Below are 20983 nucleotides of genomic sequence, written 5' to 3'. Positions count from 1 at the left end.
GGAGTGCTGTGATAGTATACATACATAATATATATATATGTTTTCATCCACAGTTCCTGGTTTATAACTCCCACAGTCCTTGCTATTTCTCCCCATGGCAGGCCATATAAACTAAAAAATATACTCTAATCTTCCCTCACCTTTCTGTCTCAAAGCTGGACATAAAGAAATTCTCTGCTACTATATCTGATTGTAGATCACAAGACCCCCATTTCAGAAGGGGCCCCATCCCATGCCCTGGAGGAAGGAATGCTGCACAGAGAAGCCAAGAAGAATCTGAATCTGATCCTATTTATAGCAGGTTAGTCAGAAACACAAGTAAAACAACATGGGGCTTCCGACTGGCATGGGAAGTGGAGGACGGTCTTGTGGGACTGAGCCCTCAACCTGTGGGATCTGATGCTACCAAGTAGACAGTGTCAGAATTGAATTGAAAGATACCCAGCTAGTGTCCACTGCAAAACTGATTGCTTGTCTGTTGGTGGGGAGAAATCCCCACACATCTGGTCACAGAAATCTTCTGTGTTGATTGTGTTGTGAGCACAGAGGAAAAACAGTTTGTGTGCCAAGAGGAAAATTTACAACTTTAAATGCTTCTATTAACAAAGAAAGATCTAAAATCAGTGTTTTAAGCTTCCGTCTCATGAAACTAAAAAAGGAATACGTTAAATAAAAATAAGTAGAAGGAAAAAATAAACAATAGAATAAGAATAGAGAAAATTAACAAAGCCAAAAGTTGTTCCTCTGACATAATAAAATCGAATAAACCATTAGGATGATTAATCATCAAAAAAGAGAGAATATACAAATTACTGATTTCAGGAATGAAAGAACAGAGTTACCCCCAGATTCCACAGACATTAAAAAAGCAATAAGGAAATATTAGAAATAATTTTATGCCAATATATTCTACAATTTAGAGGAAATGAACAAATTTCCTTGAAAAACACAACTTAAAAACCTGAAGCAAGAAACCTAACAAAAAACAAACGTCAAAAAAAATCTCTTATGAACAAAGATGCAAAAATCCTGGCAAAAATCAATCCTGCCAAAAATACAAGCAAATCAAATCCAGCAACACATAAAAAGGATAATATACCATGTTCAAGTGGGCCAGCGAAACAAAGTTTATCCAACATTCAAAAAGCAATCAATTAATCAGTCATATTAACAGAAAGGATAAAATCACATGATCACTTTGATATAGAATAATATTTGACAAACCCAACACCTATTCATGATAAAACTCAACAAGTAAAGAACTTCCTCAATCAAATACAGGATATCTGCAAAAGACCTATAGCTAACATTATACCTAATAATGAAATATTGAATTCTTTGCTTTTTAGGTCAAGAAAAGGCAAGGATGTTCACTCATGATGTCATTTCTACTCAACATTGCCCTGGAGGTCCTAGCCAGTGCAATAGCACAAGCAAAAGAAATAAAATGCATAAAGATTGGAAAGAAAGAAGTGAAACTTCTATTTGAAGATTACATGATTAAATGATGCTAAAATAACTGGATATGCCTATTAGGAAAAAATAAACTTCAATCCCTACCTTACACCATATGTGACAATAAATCTGAGATGGATATAGACCTGAATATAAAGCAATTAACTATAAAGCTTCCAGAAGAAAATATGGTAATAGACAAGCTATGAAAAGCAATAACCATAAGAGAAAAAGCTGATCAATTAGACTTCATCAAAATGTACTACTTCTCATCAAAAAAACACCTTTAAAAAATGAAGTAGGGAGACAGGGAGAAAACAGTCACAAAACATCCATTTGGCAAATGGACTTATATTCTGGATATGAAAGGAGCCCCTATTACTCAATGATAAAAAGACAATCCAATTTTTTTAAATGGGCAAAAGATTTGAAAAGATACTTCACAAAAGAAGATATACAGATGACCAAGAAGCACAAGAAAATATGCTCAACATCCTCAGACATCAGGTAAATGCTAATTAAAATTACAATGAGATACCACTACACACACTCCAGAATGGATAAAATTAAGAAGCATGATAACACCAAACATTGTTGGGGATGTGGAGCACCTAAAACTTCCATGATGAGAATGAAAAATGATACATCACTGTGGAGAAAAAGTCTTACAGGCTCTTAGAAAACTAAACATAAACCAACCCTAACCTGGCAATTCCAATCCTAGATATTTATTCAAGAAAAATGAAAATATACATTCACAAAAAGACTTGTATAAGAATGTTCAACTTCATGCATAATAGCCAAAAACTGGGAACAGCCCAGGTATCTGTCAATAGGAAAACAGATAAACTATTACATTCATACAGTGGGATACCACTCAGCAATCAAAAGAAACATACTACTGATACAACACATAGAAAAATCTCATTTCTCAAAAATACGAATCTTAAATGGATTAATAAAGATTTAACTTTTTTCAGTTTTAACTTCTAATACAGTAAATACCAATAGATTTAACTCACAGAGCTCTTTGGGGTCTTCAATAATTTTTAAATGTGTAAAGGGGTCATGAGACCAAAAAATTCGAGAATTTCTATTAGGTCATTGCAAAAGTAATTGAGGGTTTTGCCATTGAAAGTAATGGCAAAAACCGCAATTACTTTTGCACCAACCTAATAGTTAAAGTTGAATATGAGCATGACCTATATTCTAACAATTACACTCCTAAGTATACACAGAAACCCTTACATTTCTGTGTACCAGAAGATGCACAAGAATGTTCACAGCAGCCTTATCTGTAACAGCAAAAACCTGGAAACAACAAAATGTCCAATGATTAAAGAATGGATAAATGAATGTATTCATACAGTGGAATTCTAAACAACAGCAAAAATAAATGAATTATATCTACATCCATCAACACAGTCAATTCTCAGGAGCATGAATGATACTAATAAGCACAATTTGTGTTTAAAAAAAAAAAGCAAGCTGTGGAAGAATGTACATATAGTACAATTCCACTTATATAAAATATAAAACAAGCAAACCTGAACAGTTTATTTTTAGGAATGCAAAGTGGTAAAAGCTAGGAAATGATAAACACTAAATTAAGTATACTGGTTATCTCCAGAGGAAAAGGAAGAAGATGGGATCAGGGAAGGACACAGAGGGTGCTAAATGTTTCTTCAATGATGACTGCTCTTAACCAAAGGACTGTCCTCCTTTATCAAGGTCATAATTCTCTTCATTTGTCAACCTTTAGGTTGGACTTTCTGAACACAAAACAGCCATCTGATTGACAAGATTAATTAGATCAACTCTAGTGATCAATGGGATTTCAGGAGACAAAGACAGATTGCCCTCATATCTGCTTAAAAAAAGAAATGGGGGGGAAAAAAAGGAAAAATTGCTACTCAGAAGGTGAAATAGCTTAGAAACCATAATGTTTCATTTCAGGAAAAGTATCTTATCTAGAATCTCTCCTTATCATTTTGTATAAATGAATAAGTGAGTGAAGATCATAAAAACACAGCTTTTATAGCAGCATCAAGATTTTAACATGCATAGTTTTGGAGTTCTGACTCTAGCCAGTCCTTCTACTTGCTGTTAAAAGCTGCATGCTCTGAAAAGTTAAAGAACATATGTTAGAGCGAGAGTCTACACCTATGATGAGTCAAAGATTTTTTTTCCAGCTTCAAAACTGAATTATTTCAACCCTGAGGTACTTACTTGCTTTCATTGGGTAAAATAACTCTTTGGAGTCTTGAGTACATTGCAGGTATAAATAAAATGATGCTTATAAAATTTTTTGAAATCTTCAGATGGGCTTATAAAAGTACTAATCTTTATTCTTTAGTCTCATCTTCTAAGAATAAAAGGCATGGTATAATATGACATACTCTGAGTTTTCACAACAGAAAATCAAAATTTCTCAAAACTCAACTTCAGACACAGTTTTCAGTTATTTATTGCTGAATAACCATCACAAACTTCATGATTTTAAAACAAATTTATTATTACCTCTCATGGGAACAATATGAACAATAAAAAGTGCACAGGGTATTAATGTATATGTAAATAGCTTGTTTTGGCAAGACTGAAATGTAAGTAGGGCAAGGAAACGAAAGAAGACAAGAGTTAAAAATAAACTGGATAGCACAATGAGATACAACCACACATCCACCAGAATGACTAAAATTTGAAAAATTGACACTAAATGTTGACAAGGATGTGGATCAAATGCTCTGTGTGTAAAATGGTACAACCACTTTGGGAAAAGGTCTAGCAGTATCTAATAAAACTAAACATACACATACTCTATGACCCAATTATTCCAATCCTAAGCATTTACCTATGAGAAACGAAAATATATATCCACAAAATGATCTGCCCAAGAATGTTTATAGCAGCTTTACTTATAATTGTCCACACCTAAAAACAGCCATGTGTCCATCAACAGGAAAATGGGTTAATAAACTGGTATATTCATACAGTGGAATCCTACCACATAGCAATATGGATGAATCTCAAAAACATGCTGAACAAAAGAAGCCTTACCCGAAATAGTAAATACTAGACAAGTCCATTTCTATGCAGTTCTAGAACAGGCAAACCTAATCTATGGTAGGGAAAAAAAAAAAATCAGAACAGTGGTTGTGCTGGAAAGAAGGGGTAAGATGGAGGTGGGGATTAACAGAGAAGGGGCATGAGGGAACTTTCCTGGCTGATGGTAAAGTTCCACATCTTGATAGAGGTTGTTACATAGGTGTATGCATTTCTCAAAATCCAGCAAAAATAACTTAAGATTTGTGTATTACAGGCTGGGCGTGGTGGCTCATGCCTGTAATCCCAGCACTTTGGGAGGCTGAGGTGGGTGGATCACCTGAGGTCAGGAGTTCAAGACCATCCTGGCCAATATGGTGAAACCATGTCTCTACAAAAAAATGAAAAAATTAACTGGGTGTGGTGGCACGTGCCTGTAATCCCCTGTCTCTACTAATAATACAAAAATTAGCCGGGTGTGGTGGTGCTCTCCTATAATCCCAGCTACTTGGGAAGCTGAGGCAGGAGAATCGTTTGAACCTGGGACGGGGAGGTTGCAGTGAGCTGAGATCATGCCACTGCACTCCAGCCTCGGCAACACAGTGAGACTCCACAAAAAAAAAAAAAAAAAAAAAAAACAACAAAAACTGTGTATTACATTGAATGTAAATTTTACATCAAAAGAAAAAAAAAACAAGGAATTAAACTTTAATGATATGCTTTAGTATTTAGAGGAAAGCAAACAGATGTCTGCAGTTTACTTCGAAATGTATCAAAAAATAAAATGAACTGATGGATGGAGAAAGGAATGGAAAAATGAATCGGTATGTGATAAAAACAAGTGTAATAAAATGTTAATGGTAGAATTGAGATAGTGGGTGAATGGATATTCACTGAAGAATTCTTCCAACTTTGTTGTATGCATAAAAATTTCATCTTAAAAAAATGAAATGTTGGCCGGGCGCGGTGGCTCACGCCTTTATGTAATCCCAGCACTTTGGGAGGCTGAGGTGGATGGATCACGAGGTAAGGAGATCGAGACCAGTCTGGCCAACATAGTGAAACCCCATCTCTACTAAAAATACGAAAATTAGCCCGGTGTAGTGGCCTGCGCCTGTAATCCCAGCTACTAGGGAGGCTGAGGCACAAGAATCACTTGAACCCAGGAGGTGGAGGTTGCACTGAGCCAAGATCTCACCACTGCACTCCAGCCTGGCAACAGAGTGAGATTCCATCTAAAAAAAAAAAAAAAAAAAAAAAAAAGAAGTGCTTTTCATGCCATGTTAGAATTTGGTCTTTATGCTTTAGTCAATAGAAAGTCCTCAAAGGGAAACAGAAAAAGCACCTAATTCTCTAAGAAGTAATCAGTCAAGATTTAAAGAGATATCCACTGACTCAGAGAATGCAGTTACAAATGACAAACGACAAGCCAACAGCATGTGCAAAAGCATCAGCTTAAGGATATGTGACATATAGATAATCTAATTGAACCTCCCACAGAAAACATCTAAAAATCCTGAATTTAAAAACAAATCAAAGAAGAAAGAAGGGAGGGAGAAAAGGAGAAATGGAAAGTCCACCAAAGTAAGGAATCAAGTAGACCTCCCAAAATAAAGCTTTAACTGCCCCCGTCCCCACCTCCCACACCCTAGAAACTCAGGCAGGAGCTGATGCTGCAAACTTAAGGCAGAATTTCTTATCCTGGAAACCTTAGCTTTTGCACTTAATGCCTTTTAAATGATTGGATGAGGCCATTCATGTTATTGAGAGTAATCTCCTTTACCTAAAGTCAACTGATTACAGATATTAACCACATTTACTAAATACCATCATAGCAACACCAAGATAAGTGTTTGACTAAATAAGTGGATATTATAGCCTAGCCGAGTTCACAAATAAAACTAATCACCACAGGTAAGGAAGCCACAACTGTTATACAGCATGGGTTAGTTTTGTTTTTTTTTTTTAACTTATTTTTATTAGATTCCAATTCAACTCATCTTTATTAAGTACCTAATATTTGCCAGGTACTTCACAGTGTGTTTTCACATGCATCCTGCCATTTAAATCTCATAACCATTCTTTTTATCAGTTTTTGTAAAATGAGAAAAATGATATTTGATAAGGCTAAGTGATTTGCCCAAAGTCACAGGCTCAACAGAGTGAAGTCCAGATAGGAATCTTGATTCTGATTCCAAGTCCAATGGCCAGCTGTTCCATTATACCATGTACTTTCCCCAAAATAAAATATCTAGGACTTTCATGCAACCATAAAATGCTTTTACTGTCCCTTTTGGATCTATCATTTTGCTGGGTCTTAAAATGTTTCTTCATGCCTTTACTTCTTTTGAATATTCTGCACTACCTAAAACTCTCCAGGTGAGTTTTTTCCCATTATTGGAAATAGCTGGCAAAGGAACAAAGGTAGATTCTAAAAACTGAAAAAACAACTTAAAATCTTAACCTGAAACAAGAATGGAGTGGACAAGACTTTCATTTAAATGTTTACTATACTATGTATTCTATCTCAGTGATGTTCCCCAAATTACTGTTTGAGGAATTGTACTGTCCTTATTTACACATACACACACCACAATTACTGTTCCACTTAAAAAAAAAAATCAATCATTTCTTCCAAAATGTGCTACCAAATGACAATTCTTCCCAGTTAATACCTTTGAATACTTGAGCAAATACTAAGATTAGACTTCCAAATGTACTTAGCCTTCAAGTACCTACTAAGCTCTAGCTGCTAACTACAGACTTGAGACTAAAAGGTGATTTCATTTAAGCTTGGGAAAGGTACTAAGAGAAAATAAGGATGAAAATTGTTTCTGAAATAAAAAAGTTCAACTTAACTCATTACCCAGAATGATCCTTTTCAAGCTTTCCTTCATATACAGGTTATCAGCCTACTGTTACTGTGCAGGGTAATCAACACCTAACTTGGTTTGCAAAGTTAGAAACCCAGGTTCCAGTACCAGCCCTGTGATCCTTAACAAACTGCTTATCCTTTTGAACTTACTTTCCTTACATACAAACAGAGATAACACTGAGAAAAGATATAAAAATACTTTGTGGATGTTAAAGCCTTGTTTCTCCAAGTGTAGTCTCCAGACCAGCAGCACTGGAATCACCTGATAGCTTTTAAGAAATGCAGACTCAGCCAGGCGTGGTGGCTTATGCCCGTAATCCCAACACTTTGGGAGGATCGCTTGAGGCCAGGAGTTCGAGACCAGCCTGGGCAACATAGCGAGATTCCCTGCATCTCTACAAAAAATAAAATAAAAAAATCACCAGGTATGGTGGCAGACACTTGTAGTGCTAGCTATTCGGGAGTCTGAGGCAGGAGGATCCCTTGAACCCAGGAGTTTGAGGTTACAGTAAGCTATGATCATGCCACTGAACTTCAGCCTGGGCAACAGCATGAGACCCTGTCTCAAAAAAAAAAAAAAAAAAGAAAAAGAAAAAAGAAAGAAAGAAAGAAAAGAAAAAGAAAAAAAGGAATGCAGACTCTAAGGCCACATTCCATATCTACTAAACCAGAATATGTTTTTACAAGATTCTCAGGTAATCCACATACACATTAAAGTCTGAGGCCCATTGTTGTAAAGCACTTCATAGATGTTAGGTATCTTCACCATAATAAAACAGTTCATTAGAAACTTTTTGTTTGGAGAAGTCCTGTGATATGGTAACCCATTAACAATATGACATCAACAATAATGACATCCTCCTCCTCAGCTCCATCATTTTCCAGACTGAGAAACTACTAAACATGGATTCTGATCTAGGCTTCACCACTAATTTTCAATGTAATCTTAGGCAGACCACTTCTTAAGGTCTTTTTCCTTATTTGTAAAATGAGAACATTAGATCACCAGTTCCCAACATAAAGTCCCTGGACTCACTGGGGTCTAAAAAAGTGGTAAGGGAGGAAGGCAGGGTAGTGTGGTAGTTAAGTGCATAGTTTTGGGATTAAATGGCTGCTTCAAGACTGGGTGTGGTGGCTCACGCCTGTAATCCCAGCACTTTGAGAGCCCAAGGCAGGCAGATCACCTGAGGTCCGGAGTTCGAGACAAGCCTGGCCAACATGGTGAAACACTGTCTCTACTAAAAATATAAAAATTAGCGGGGGTGGTGGCACATGCCCGTAATCTCAGCTACTTGGGAGGCTGAGGCAGGAGAATAATCTGAACCCAGGAGGCAGAGGTTGCAGTGAGCCAAGGTGGTGCCACTGCACTCCAGCCTCCGCGACAGAGCAAGACTCAGTCTCAAAAAAAAAAGTTCAGCCTATGCCAGGGTTTGGGGGGTAAAGTTGGGGGATGAATGGGGGTGGTGGGTGGGGAGAGGGGTCAGATATGCTTCATTACACTCTTTGGAGTTCAGGCACACAATTGACCAGCATTAAAAAATAGAGATCCTAAGACTGACAGAACAGACTTTTTGTAGCAACAAGATACCAAATTCCAACGTGACTCTAACATACCATCACATGATAAATAGCAAGGCCCTGAAACAAATCAAAGTACTTTACCCAAAATATATTTTTTGACATAATTTGAAATGGCCCTGCAAAGCTGTCTCTTGTAGAGGAAATTTACATTCTATAGAGAATTCCCTTCCCTTTCCAGCTCGTTTTCTGATCCTGAAGAGAGTAGCTGAGAGTCTAGCATCTTTTAGAGGTCTGAATAGGAAACATTTGCCATCTATTGCCTCTAAGGGCAGCCATCAATGAGACTTCATCTACATAATAAGAACCTTGGTCTCTAAAAACCCTTATCTTAACCCAGATACTGATTGCTATTGATTCCAGGGATTTAAATAATAACTTAACTCTTTCAACCAATTGCCAATCAGAAAATCTTTAAATCCACCTATGACCTGTAAGCTGTAGCCCCCTACTCACCACTTCAAGTTGTCCCACCTTTCTAGACTGAACCAATGTATACCTTACATGTACTGATTGACATCTAATGTCTCCCTAAAACATAAAACCAAGCTGTAACCCAACCACCTTAGGCACATGTTCTCAGGACTTCCTTAGGCTCTGTCACAGGTTGTGATCCTTAACCTTGGCAAAATAAACTTGTAAATTGACTGAAACCTTTCTCAGATACTTTTTGCTTTACACTATATACTTAAAACAGATGCATTTTATTGTAAGTAAATTATACCTCAAAAAGCTAATTGCAAAAGTAAAACAGGAAGAGAGAGAGTAAGAATGCACTCTGGAAGTCAGAGAGCATGAGTTTAAATCTTCGCTTTGCCACTTGCAAAGTGGAAAACTTTAGACAAATTATTTAATCCCTCTCTGCCCTAAAATTTCCAGATCTTTAAAACAGGACTACAGAACCTAAGTTAAGAGTCGTTGTAAGGATTGTAATAAGAGTTATTATCAGGAAATACACTCATAGAACTTTGTACATTAAACCCCATAAATGTTAGCTATTATTATTTCTACTGGCTATTTTTAATATTTCAAAAATCACATTTATCCACAAGAAGACTGTAATGAAAATATTATGCTGTTTTGTTTTATATCAATGCATTAAACTAATTAGTGGCTGTATCTCATATAATCATTACAGCATGGTAATAGTATCTAGAACTTATCTGATTGGGTTACATGTACCTTTGATTAATTAAAACAGGGATAAAGTACATTAACAATTGTAACTTATGTAGGAGTAATAATAAATTAAAATTTATGTAAGAGTGACAATAAATTCATGGCACCCATGAAAGAAATTTTTTAAAAGGTTTCTTTATAATGAAAAGGTTAAAATAGCTACTCTGCTACCACATCGTCCAGCAGTTCCACCTTTAGGGTCTTGAAGAGATATTTGTACACCCATGTTCACAGGAGCATTATTCACAATAGCCAAGTAGAAGCAACCCAAGTGTACACTGACAGAAGAATGAATAAAAAATGTGACCCGAGCATGGTGGCTCACACCTGTAATCCCAGCACCTTGGCAGGCTGAGGTGGGAGGATCACTTGAGCCCAGGAGTTTGAGACCAGCCTGGGCAACATAGTGAGACCTCATCTCTACAAAAATAAAAAAAATAGACAGGTGTGGTGGCATGCATCTGTGGTCCCATCTACTTGGAAGGTTGAGACGGTGGGAGGATCACTTGAGCCCAGGAGGTCGAGACCAGCCTGGGCAACATAGTGAGACCTCGTATCTACAGAAAATAAAAAAATTAGTCAGGTGTGGTGGCACACATCTGTGGTCCCACCTACTTGGAAGGCTGAGTTGGAAGGATCACTTGAGCCCAGGAGGTTGAGACCAGCCTGGGCAACATAGTAAGATCTCATCTCTACGGAAAATAAAAAAAGTAGCCAGGTGTGGTGTCCCGCATCTGTGGTCCCATCTACTTGGAAGGCTGAGGTGGGAGGATCACTTAAGCCTAGGAGGTCAAGGCTACAGTCAGCCACGATCACGCCACTGCACTCCAGCCTAAGCAACAGAATGAGACCCTTTCTCAAAAAACAGAAAATGTGGCAAATACATATAATAAAATATTATACAGCCTTGAAAAGGAAGGAAATTCTGATTGCTATAACATGGATGAACCTTGAGGACATTACACTAAGTGAAATAAAACACTCACAAAAAGACAAGTACTGTATGGTTCTACTTATATGAGGTACTTAGAGTAGTCAAATTTATAGAGACAGAAAAGTAGAAAAGGTGGTTGCCAGTGACTAGAAGGAGGAGAAAACGGGGAGTTGTTTAATGGATACAGAGTTTTAGTTTTGTAAGATGAAGAGTTCTGGAAATTGATTGCCCAACAGTGTGAATGTACTTAACACTATTGACTACTGAACTGTATGTACATTTAAAATGGTTAAGAAGATAAATTTTATGTTACATGTATTTTTCCATAATTAAAAATAAATAAATAGCTGGTATGGCAGCTCTTGCAGCACTAACGCTATAAAACCTTTATGAACCTATCTATGTTTTAAGTTTGTAATAAGCGATCATAGCACCTAAAACAATTAACTGGCAGTCTGACTTGGATGCTGTCTGCATATATCAACTCAAACTGTGTTTTTCCTCTGTTCTCACAACCCAACAATCATCACAGAAGACTTCTGTGACCAAGTGTGTGTGGGGAAACCCAATCAGTTCTATAGCAATCAGTTCTACAGCAGACACCAGCTGGGTGTCCTCCAATTCAATTCCAACATTATCCACCTCGAGATAGTGTCAGCTCCTACAGGTTGAGGGCTCAGTCCCCAGAACTGCCCCCTTCCTTCAGACATCTGTCCCAAGTCCGGGGCTAGGGCTAGTGCAGCTTACAGAACCCAGGTAAACAGGTTTATTAGTTTATTACAAAGGATATTTCAAAGTTTACAAATAAACAGCCAGAAGAAGAGATACCCAGGGGCAGGTTTGGAAGGGTCCTGAGCACAGGAGGTTCTGTCCCCATAGATTTGGAGCGCAGCACCATCCTACTATGTGGATGAGTTCTTGTTCACCTTCCTGTCAGTCTCCACGTGTTCAGCTATCCAGAAGTTCTCCAAACCCTGTCCTCTTGAACCTTTTATGGAGACTTCACTGGATAGGCATGATTGAAGCATGAACAACCATGTTGAAATATGATTGGACAAAAAAGGTATAGTCTAATATTAATAGACTGAATGGGGAAACCCAGCAAAGCCTGTCTGTTCAGATTCCTCTTGGCTTCTCTCTGCAGCATTCCTTCCTCCAGGGTATGAGGCAGGACTCTCTCTGTAATGAGGGTCTTGTGACCCACAGTCAGATTAGAGTCCTGCCTTGGGTAGGTGAAAGAAGGGCAGGGGAAGACCAGAGAGATGGAGATTCTGTTTCCTAAGGCCTGTTTTGAGGCCTACAGTGCCCCAACATTATAATAAAAGACTCTAAAAAGGGATATGAGAGTTATGAGCCAGGAACCATGGGCTATACACACACACACACACACACACACACACACACACACACACAGAGAGAGAGAGAGAGATATTAAAACTAAACTCTTTTGTACACTCAATTTGTCCTTTCATTTGGCCTTCATTCTTCAGTTGACTTATGAACTTTTGAGTTATAATTTGGAGGCAGTGCTGCTTGCCTGTCAATAACCTTCAGAGAAAGGAGCATCTTCCTTCATATGACAGGGATGTCACCTCTGCCAGCCCAGAGTCCCAAGACCAAAAAAGAAGCCTGATGTGTGCTCACTAACTTGAGGTTGCTCTTCAGGGAGGATGGTAGGAAGGAACCTGAGAAAAGGAAAAGAAAAGAAATATAGCAAAGGGCTACAAGCAGTCAAATGCCTTTCATGGCATACCTGTATGGCAGAGATAGCTGATTAAAGCCCCTTTTGTCTTGTGCTGCAGCAGCAAGGAAAAAAAAGACCTTGTTCCCCCATCTAAGTGAATCCCATAGTAAAGGTATAGAGACTGAGGGCTGCCCTACTTTCCTTCTGCCCACTTCCTATGAATAGGATGGGGAGAGAGGCAGCAAACCTATGAGAAGGAACAATACCTAGCTTGAACCATTCTCACTCATGGACAAAAGGATATGGCAAGATGATCATACAACATCACAACAGCCATTCTTCCCATCCATGAAAGTCATACCAACCAGGTTACCTCCTCAGACTGAGGTAAGCCCTATAAAAACCATAATTGGGAATTTTCATGTATTTTTTAGCTTTCTTTTATTTATTTATTTTTATTTTTTAGCTTTCTGATAAATAAACCCTTCATCATAATATGTCAATTCTTGGACATTCCATGATCAAATATGTTTTTGGGAATGCATTTCACCTGAAAGAAACAAATGTGCCTGTTTATACTTGTCTGTTCATACTCCTGCTGCCCTCTCAGCTACTTTTCTTTCTTTTTTTTTTTTTTTTTTTTTTTTTTTTTGAGACAGAGTCTCACTCTGTCACCAAGGCTGGAGTGCAGTGGCACAATGTCAGCTCTCTGCAACCTCCGCCTCCAGCGTTCAAGTGATTCTCCTGCCTCAGCCTCCCAAGCAGCTGGGACTACAGGCACATACCACCACACCTGGCAAATTTTTGTATTTTTAGTAGAGACGGTGTCTCATCATGTTGGCCAGGCTGGTCTCCAACTCGTGACCTCAAGTGATCTGTCTGCTTTGGCCTCCCAAAGTGCTGGGATTACAGGCATGAGCCACCATGCCTGGCCCTCTCAGCTACTTTGAACAGAGAAGCTGTCTTCAAATGGTTTTATAGCCTTAGTCAGTGACAAAATAGGTACTCAGTAAATATCTGCTGAATAAATAAAACATTTTGAATGACTTTTAACCGGGTAATTCTTTTCTGAACACCCATATTCACAGCAGCATTATTCACAATAGCCAAGAGGTAGAAGTAACCCAAGTTTACGCTGTCAGAAAAATGAATAAAGAAAATATGGCCTGGGCATGATGGCTCACATCATGAAGCTGTAGGTAAATCTTATTCCCCTCCATTTCCCTTTATGTAGTATTTCTTCCATTAAACCAACAGCACCTGAAACTCCACTTCGTATAGATAGTATGTCTTGGTAGAAAGAGTTGTGAGACCTAAATTTGAATACCATTTCTGCCTCTTAATAGCTGTATGATGCTGAGCTGCTTATTTAACTAACTTCTCCAAGACTCAGTGTCCTTCTCTTTACAATGGGGTAACAACATCTAACGTTCCTTGATAGGAATGTTCTGAGGATTAGAAATACAGTCTTCACTTTGCAGGGTTCCAATATCCTCAAATTTCAGTTATCATAGTTTAGTTAAATAACACCAATTACCCAATGACACAATTCAAATTTCAGTTACCACTGTATACTAATTGTGAGTAGCTGAATATAGTACAAACTTCACTGCTACATCTTAAGTCCACAAATCAGTATACAAATAACAGAAGTACATCACCATCAGTGACCAACCAGGTCACTTCTTTCACTGTCTGTTGATGATCAGTCACAGTGAACCTGGTACCAGTTATTCAGTTCATGTACAGAAAGCAAAGCATGTAGTTGAGTTGCCTCCTTGTCTCCTGGTGATAAACTTATGTGCCATGTTACAAAATTGAGTAACAGAAGGAGAGAATTGGCCAAGAATGATGTAAGGGTAGCAGAGAAACAAAAATGTATAATGTTGGAAGTGAAATTCCAATCAAACATAAACAGAATTATAGAAGAAATAGCTAACCATAAGAATGCTGACGCTACTGCCATTCAAGGGACTCTAAATATGTAGTCTGAGGGGCTGGGTGCAGTGGCTCACACCTATAATTCCAGCACTTTGGGAGGCTGAGGTGGGCAGATCACTTGAGGCCAGGAGTTCAAGACCATCCTGGCCAACATGGTGAAACCCCATCTCTACCAAAAAAAAAAAAAACAAAAAACAAAAATTAGCCAGGTATGGTGGTGCGTGCCTCCCAGCTACTTGGGAGCCTGAGCTGGGAGGATTGCTTGAGCCCAGGAGGCACAGGTTGCAGTGAGCCAAGATCACGCCGCTGCACTCCAGCCTGGGCGACAGAATGAGACTTCGTCTCAAAAAAGAAAAAAAAAAAAAAAAAGATGCTGGGCAAGGTGGCTCACACCTGTAATCCCAGCACTTTGGGAGGCCAAGGCAGGTGAATCACTGCAGGTCAGGCATTTGAGACCAGCCTGGCCAACATGGTGAAACCCCGTCTCTACTACAAATACAAAAATTAGCTGGGCATGGTGGTGCACTCCTGTAATCCCAGTTATGTGGGTGGCTGAGGCACGAGAATTGCTTGAACCCAGGAGCTGGAGGTTGCAGTGAGCCAAGATTGCGCCACTGCACTCCAGCCTGGGTGACAGAGCGAGATTCCGTCTGGAAAAAAAAAAAAAATGCAATCTGAGGAATTCAGAGAAAGAGAAGGCAAACTTATCAACGTAAATGCATAAAGTAGTTGTGGTGAAAAGGATAAAGATGTCCCAGGAGAAATTATGCTAACAAAAAAAACTTTGCATTAAAGGAACTCTTGGAGAGATTTCACAATCTTAAAAGTGCAAAGGATAAATTTTGGAAGCTGATACAAATTAGAAAAGAATTCATGAAGGGATAGTACTCATCCCGGCTGGGCATGGTGGCTCATGCCTATATTCTCAACACTTTGGGAGGCTGAGGTGGGAGGACTGCTTGAGCTCAGGAGTTTGAGACCAGCTTGGGCAACATGGCAAAACCCTGTCTCTACTAAAAATCCAAAAAAAAAAAAAAAAAATTAGCTGGGCATGGTGGCACACGCCTGTAGTCCCAGCTATGGGGTACTGAGGTGGCAGGATCACTTGAGCCTGGGAGGTCGAGGCTGCAGTGAGCTGTGATTGTGCCACTGCACTCCAGCCTAAGCAACAGAGGGAGACCTTGTCTCAAGAAAAATCCAAAAACCTGTTGGCCCTCATTAGTGTAGCTGTAGCTGGCTAAAAAAAAAAAAAAAAAAAAATTAATTTAAAAGAAAAAAGACAACTGGGCATGGAAGTTCACGCCTGTAATCCCAGCACTTTGGGAGGCTGAACAGGTGGATCACTTGAGGTCAGGAGTTCGAGACCAGCCTGGCCAAAATGGTGAAACCCCGTCTCCACTAAAAATACAAAAATTAGCCAGGCGTGGTGGCATGCGCCTGTAATCCCAGCTACTTGGGAGGCTGAGGCAGGAGAACTGCTTGAACCCAGGGGGTGGAGGTTGCAGTGAGCCGAGATCGCGACACTGCATTCCAGCCTAGGCAACAGAGCGAGACTCTACCTCAAAAAAAAAAAAAAAAAAAAATACCCATTCCATATTATGAGTTATGTGACAAAAAGGCAAGCACTGTTTTAATTACTCTTGATAAGTGATTTTTATAAACAAAATAGTTTATTTCTCAATGTTTTTAATGTTTTAAAGTATACTAAATAAATATGCTTACTTTTTTCATTTCCCTACATATTCATAACCAACAGTAAGAGAGTTTACAATGTTTGACAAAAAGTTTTAAAGATCACAGAACAATCATAACTTTTCCCATTGATTATTAACATAGTGTTACCTGGTTTTAACTTGCACAGTCATTTGTGTGGTCCCACACTATGATGCAAAGCAAGGACTGCCTGTACCTCTAACTTCTGGCAGGTCAAGGGGCTTATTATTTCACAATGAGAGACCTTTTCCTCTGGTCTTTACAATATGCTCAAACAAAAGGAATTTAAACTGATCTTGGCTGATGCTAGGAAGACAGTTTTCGGGTGCTGAAAGTGACTGAGAACTACTGCCATATCTGAATATGCAATTCCCCAAACACTTCATTATTCCCTAAAATACATATATTCTAATGCTGAAAGATAGTTGAAAGATGGTTGAGTAAACTGAATAGTTGTTCAATTTGTCCTGTGTGATAGCATAGTATTTCATATCTGTCTTCCTTTCTTGAATATAGGGGCAAAACAATGAATGTGTGATAGAAGTAATGATGGAGAGGTAACATGGATAGTAGCTTTAGAGTCAGACTTCAATGTGAACACTATCTCTACATCACTTACTGTAATCTTAGGTAAATTATTTCTTAGAACTTCAATCTCCTTATCTTTGAAATGGGGATAATAATACCTTCTTTTTGAAATTACTGTAAAGATCAAAAGAGATAAGATATATGAAGTGCTTAGCAAAGTGTAGTACAAGTGACCACTTAGATAATAGCTATTATTACATTATCCTTAATATTACCATCAATACTATTGTTAATGTAAATACTATCGTGATGTTAATATTGCACTTGCTTTAAACACATATTTTAAACATATTATTATTAATCAGCATATTTTTCAAAGATCAAATTATCTTAGTCCAAGATATATTACTGTAGATACTCATGACTTGCTATGGTAAGATGACTTGACCTCAACTTCCTCCAGATGATTTTCTCCCAAGGTGCATGCGCAAAGGGCTGCAAACATTCACTCATCCTCTTCTTGCAACCCCTCTGATTCCTATGTCAAAACCCTCCCTGCAGTCTGCTCAGAGTTTCCTCTTCTGAGCACATTGAGAACAAATGTCATTTCCCATTTCTCAGAGCTATCTGCCAGAACACAGTATCTTGCTCTCTCAGAGTCCACATGACTTACCGCCAGTTTTCTCTCTTTGCATTTTTTATATTTTTTTTGTAGAAATAGGGTCTAACTCTTGCCCAGGCTGGAGTGCAGTGGCATAATTACAGCTCACAGCAACCTTGAACTCCTGGGCTCAAGTGATCTTCCCACCTCAGTCTCCTAAGTAGCTGGGACTACAGGCACAAACCACCATGCATATCTAATTTTTTTTATTTTTTATGGAGACAGGGTCTCACTATGTTGCCCAGGCTGGACTCAAACTCCTGGCCTCAAGCAGTCCTCCTGCCTTGGCCTCCCAAAGTGCTGGGATTACAGGCATGGGCCACGATGCCCAGCCCAGTTTTTTCTTGGTTCTAAACTAAGAGTCATTATTACCTACATAGACCCATAAAGCTGCAACTAAGGCCAGCCCCTTTTCTCTATTAAATAATTTTTTCCTTCGAAAATATTGAGTTCATTGAACAATGTCTGATTTAACACTTTCAGTGACAGAAAGTCCTCTGTCCCCCAAGTCAACCTTTCCCATATCATTGGTGAGAAGGTTTTTCCTTATATTGAAGCAAACTTTTCCCCATTACAGTTAGTTTCTGCCCATATGCCCTAATTCCAGATTCCAAATAAATTAAAAAAAAATTATTCTATATGATAGCCCATCCAATATTTGAAGACTCTTGAATTCCTCTTTTCCATGTTACACATTTCCAGCGCAGAGTGCATGGTTTTACATCTCTTTCCTCGTGGTCATGGTTCTCTGGACCAGGCATGGGCTTGCCAAAGTGATCTAACAACAAACTGGTAAAGCGCTTCCTTTGCCAACATGTGGGTTCCCAAGTAATTGTATTACAAATGATCCCTTTGCCAATATTTCTCCATGATTATGTAAAAATTATTAATTTAATAGTTGAAGAAAAGTGACTCTTAGCCTAAATCATGGTCATAAGAGAATAGTACTAAAGTCCTGAAAACTGCAAAAAGTGTTCTTTTTTTTTTTTTTTGAAACTTAGCCAATTACCAGAACAGAATAAAGTGGGACCATTTGTCATGATATGCTTGCCTCTTTCCTACAAAGCCATGCACAGATGCCTGAGAACAGGACTCAACAATGAGAAGGTTAGCTAAGAAGAGTTTCACTTCACGTCCTGAGAAGTAGATCCAACTAAAAGAAGGCAGTAATCATTAGCCAAAGGATAGTCTTTGCACTTTGCCAGAAGCAGGTACCTAAAAGAAGGATCAAATATTGTGCTCTCAAAACCTGATTAAATGATAGAAAAAGAAGTGGCAGATTTCTCCTAGCCTGGCAGGAAAAATCGTCTAGGAAAACAGACAGACACCCACATAGGCACACAGAACAAGCCCAACCTGACCAGCAGTGCCTGACAGAGCAGCCGCTAAAGAAGAATGCTTAAATCCTCAGAAGGTGCAGTCGGTGGAAGTAGTGTCCTCAGATGACCCCTAACTCCTAGATAGTTGGATAGGACAGAATGGAGCAGGGACTTGGTCCTCTGTGCTCTTGGGAGCCTGGCAGGGGCAGAAGGTACAGGCTAGGTGCAAGATGCCTTCGACTCCTGGTGCAAGATGACAGTTGAATAATCATACTCAGAGAGCAGATGACCTCTGGTACTTGAAGACATCCTGGGGGATAGGGGTGGGATGGTTCAGATCTCAGACTAGTGAAACTGTTCCCTGGAGGTGAGCAAGGAGGTCTAATATTCCAGTGAAAAGGGAAGGGAAAGACGGTAGAATTCTCACGGATTGGGGGAAAGACGAAGCTAGGAACTGTACCCTTCTGGTGGTGGCAACAGCAGAGCAGGTGTCCTGGGCCCTCATTCCAAGGGGCAGGGTCCTCCACTCTCCCAGCCTGGCCCCACTCCGCTCTCGGGCAGGAATTCCCATTCCCAACCCGGCTCTTCAGGCTTTCCCCCTTAGGTCCAGCAGGGGCTCCCCACTTCCCACTGCTCTTCTGCCCCCCCAATCCTCAGGCCCCCTTCCTCCCTCCCAGACCCCGGTACTCCTCCCTCTACACACTGGACTCCCGGCCCGCTCCTCTCAGCCTCCCGCTGGCCCAGGGCGCCGCATTCCAGCTCCCGGGGCCAGGCCTGGCACCTCCCTTCGCGGCCAGGTTCGCTCTTTGCCTTCCTCACACGGCGTCTCCTCAGCCCGGTGCCCTCTCGCCCCCACTCCCCTCCTCAGGCCACACTCACAGAACTCGGCGATGTACCAGGTCACGGAGTAGTTCTCCTCGCACCAGTCCAGCGTGGAGGTCGTGGGGCCCCAGTAGCCCTCTCGGTCCGCGGCCGGAGCCATCACGCCGCCGCCGCCGCCGCCCAGGCGCTCCGCTCACTGTGCCGGGTTAGGCTGGCGACCAGGCCGGCTCCGGCCCAGCCCGCGCGCTCGCTCGCGCCCCGCCCGGCCCTGCCTCCCCGAGGGGCGGGGCCTGGCGCCGTTACTGACACTGCCCTGACGGAGGCCCCGCCCACCGGCGCCGCTGGGCCGCGGGGCCGGGCCAGGCCCGACCTGGTGTAAGGCCCACTCGGAGGGCGCCGGCTGGCCCCGCCCCTCTTCACCCTTGGGCGGGGCAGGGGCGTGATCCAGGAAGGAGCCGGGGGCCTGGGCTTCCTGGCCGGTGCAGACACGCCAATGGCCGTAGGTTGGGGGTTCCTGACATCCCAGAGGCTATATTCTGTCAGGATGTGCCAGAGCCTCTATTTGTGTGCGTGTGGTTTGATTTAATCGGGGCGGGGGTGGGATGAATACTTCTATCAAGCCCTTGCTTGATTAAACCTGTGCGGCGAAGCGCCTCTATGTCTTCCATTGAGCCACAGGCCTCAAATGGAGCCCCAAAACAGAGTACCCCCAACCAATCCCCGTGATTCTCAGGAAATAAACCGTGATTTTCTGATAAAGGTGTAAGTGTCTCTTCGGTACAAAGGGAAAGGGTGAACAACCCAGGACCGAAAAAAAAAAAGTAGGTTCTGAGATCCTAAAAAAAAAGAATGCTGCTAGCTAGAGCACTAAAGCAAAGTTTCCCTGCTTCGTTTGGGCCTCCAAGCACAGAGGTTTCCACGTTCTAACTATAATTGTGCCCTGCTCTTCAGGCAACCAACAGCCTACCCCTACTTCCAACTTCAAGTCTAATACTCCCAGCCCCCGTCTGGGAGTATCGTAGACGGCAAAACCCCGTGTCTACGAAAAATACAAAAATTAGCTGGGCGCGGTGGCTCAGACGTGTGGTCCCAGCTACTTGAGAAGCTGAGGTGGGAGGATCACTTGAGCCCCCGCGGTGGAGATTGCATGCAGTGAGCTGAGACTGTGCCAATCCAGCCTGGGAGAACAGAGCGAGACCCTGTCTCTAAATAAATAAATAAATAAATAAATAAATAAATAAATAAAAAGTCT

The 20983-nt window shown here is 40.5% G+C and overlaps 1 protein-coding gene across 8 annotated transcripts in view, besides 2 other annotated features; it reads right to left on the bottom strand.

Moving 5' to 3' along the window:
- Positions 1-19950, bottom strand: part of ACER3 (alkaline ceramidase 3) — a 165880-nt gene extending 145930 nt beyond the window's left edge. For all 8 annotated transcript variants that reach the window (XR_007062489.1, NM_018367.7, XM_011545151.3 and 5 more), the window contains exon 1: positions 19789-19950. Coding sequence is in view for 5 of the 8 variants with exons in the window: in NM_018367.7 (NP_060837.3) it covers positions 19789-19891 (103 nt within the window). In the remaining 3 variants the exon portion in view is untranslated. The remainder of the gene's footprint in view (positions 1-19788) is intronic.
- Positions 19878-20137: a silencer, noted in NCBI's record as "silent region_3792". NCBI's record gives its function as "represses an Ori minimal core promoter by ATAC-STARR-seq in GM12878 lymphoblastoid cells {active_cell/tissue: GM12878}" and the evidence as "EXISTENCE:reporter gene assay evidence [ECO:0000049][PMID:35858748]".
- Positions 20178-20277: a silencer, noted in NCBI's record as "silent region_3791". NCBI's record gives its function as "represses an Ori minimal core promoter by ATAC-STARR-seq in GM12878 lymphoblastoid cells {active_cell/tissue: GM12878}" and the evidence as "EXISTENCE:reporter gene assay evidence [ECO:0000049][PMID:35858748]".

Source organism: Homo sapiens, chromosome 11 (genome assembly GCF_000001405.40).
Source record: "Homo sapiens chromosome 11, GRCh38.p14 Primary Assembly".
Taxonomy (NCBI): Eukaryota; Metazoa; Chordata; class Mammalia; order Primates; family Hominidae; genus Homo; species Homo sapiens.
The sequence above is the reverse complement of the archived record's forward strand: the minus strand, read 5'-3'. Positions and strand labels throughout refer to the sequence as shown.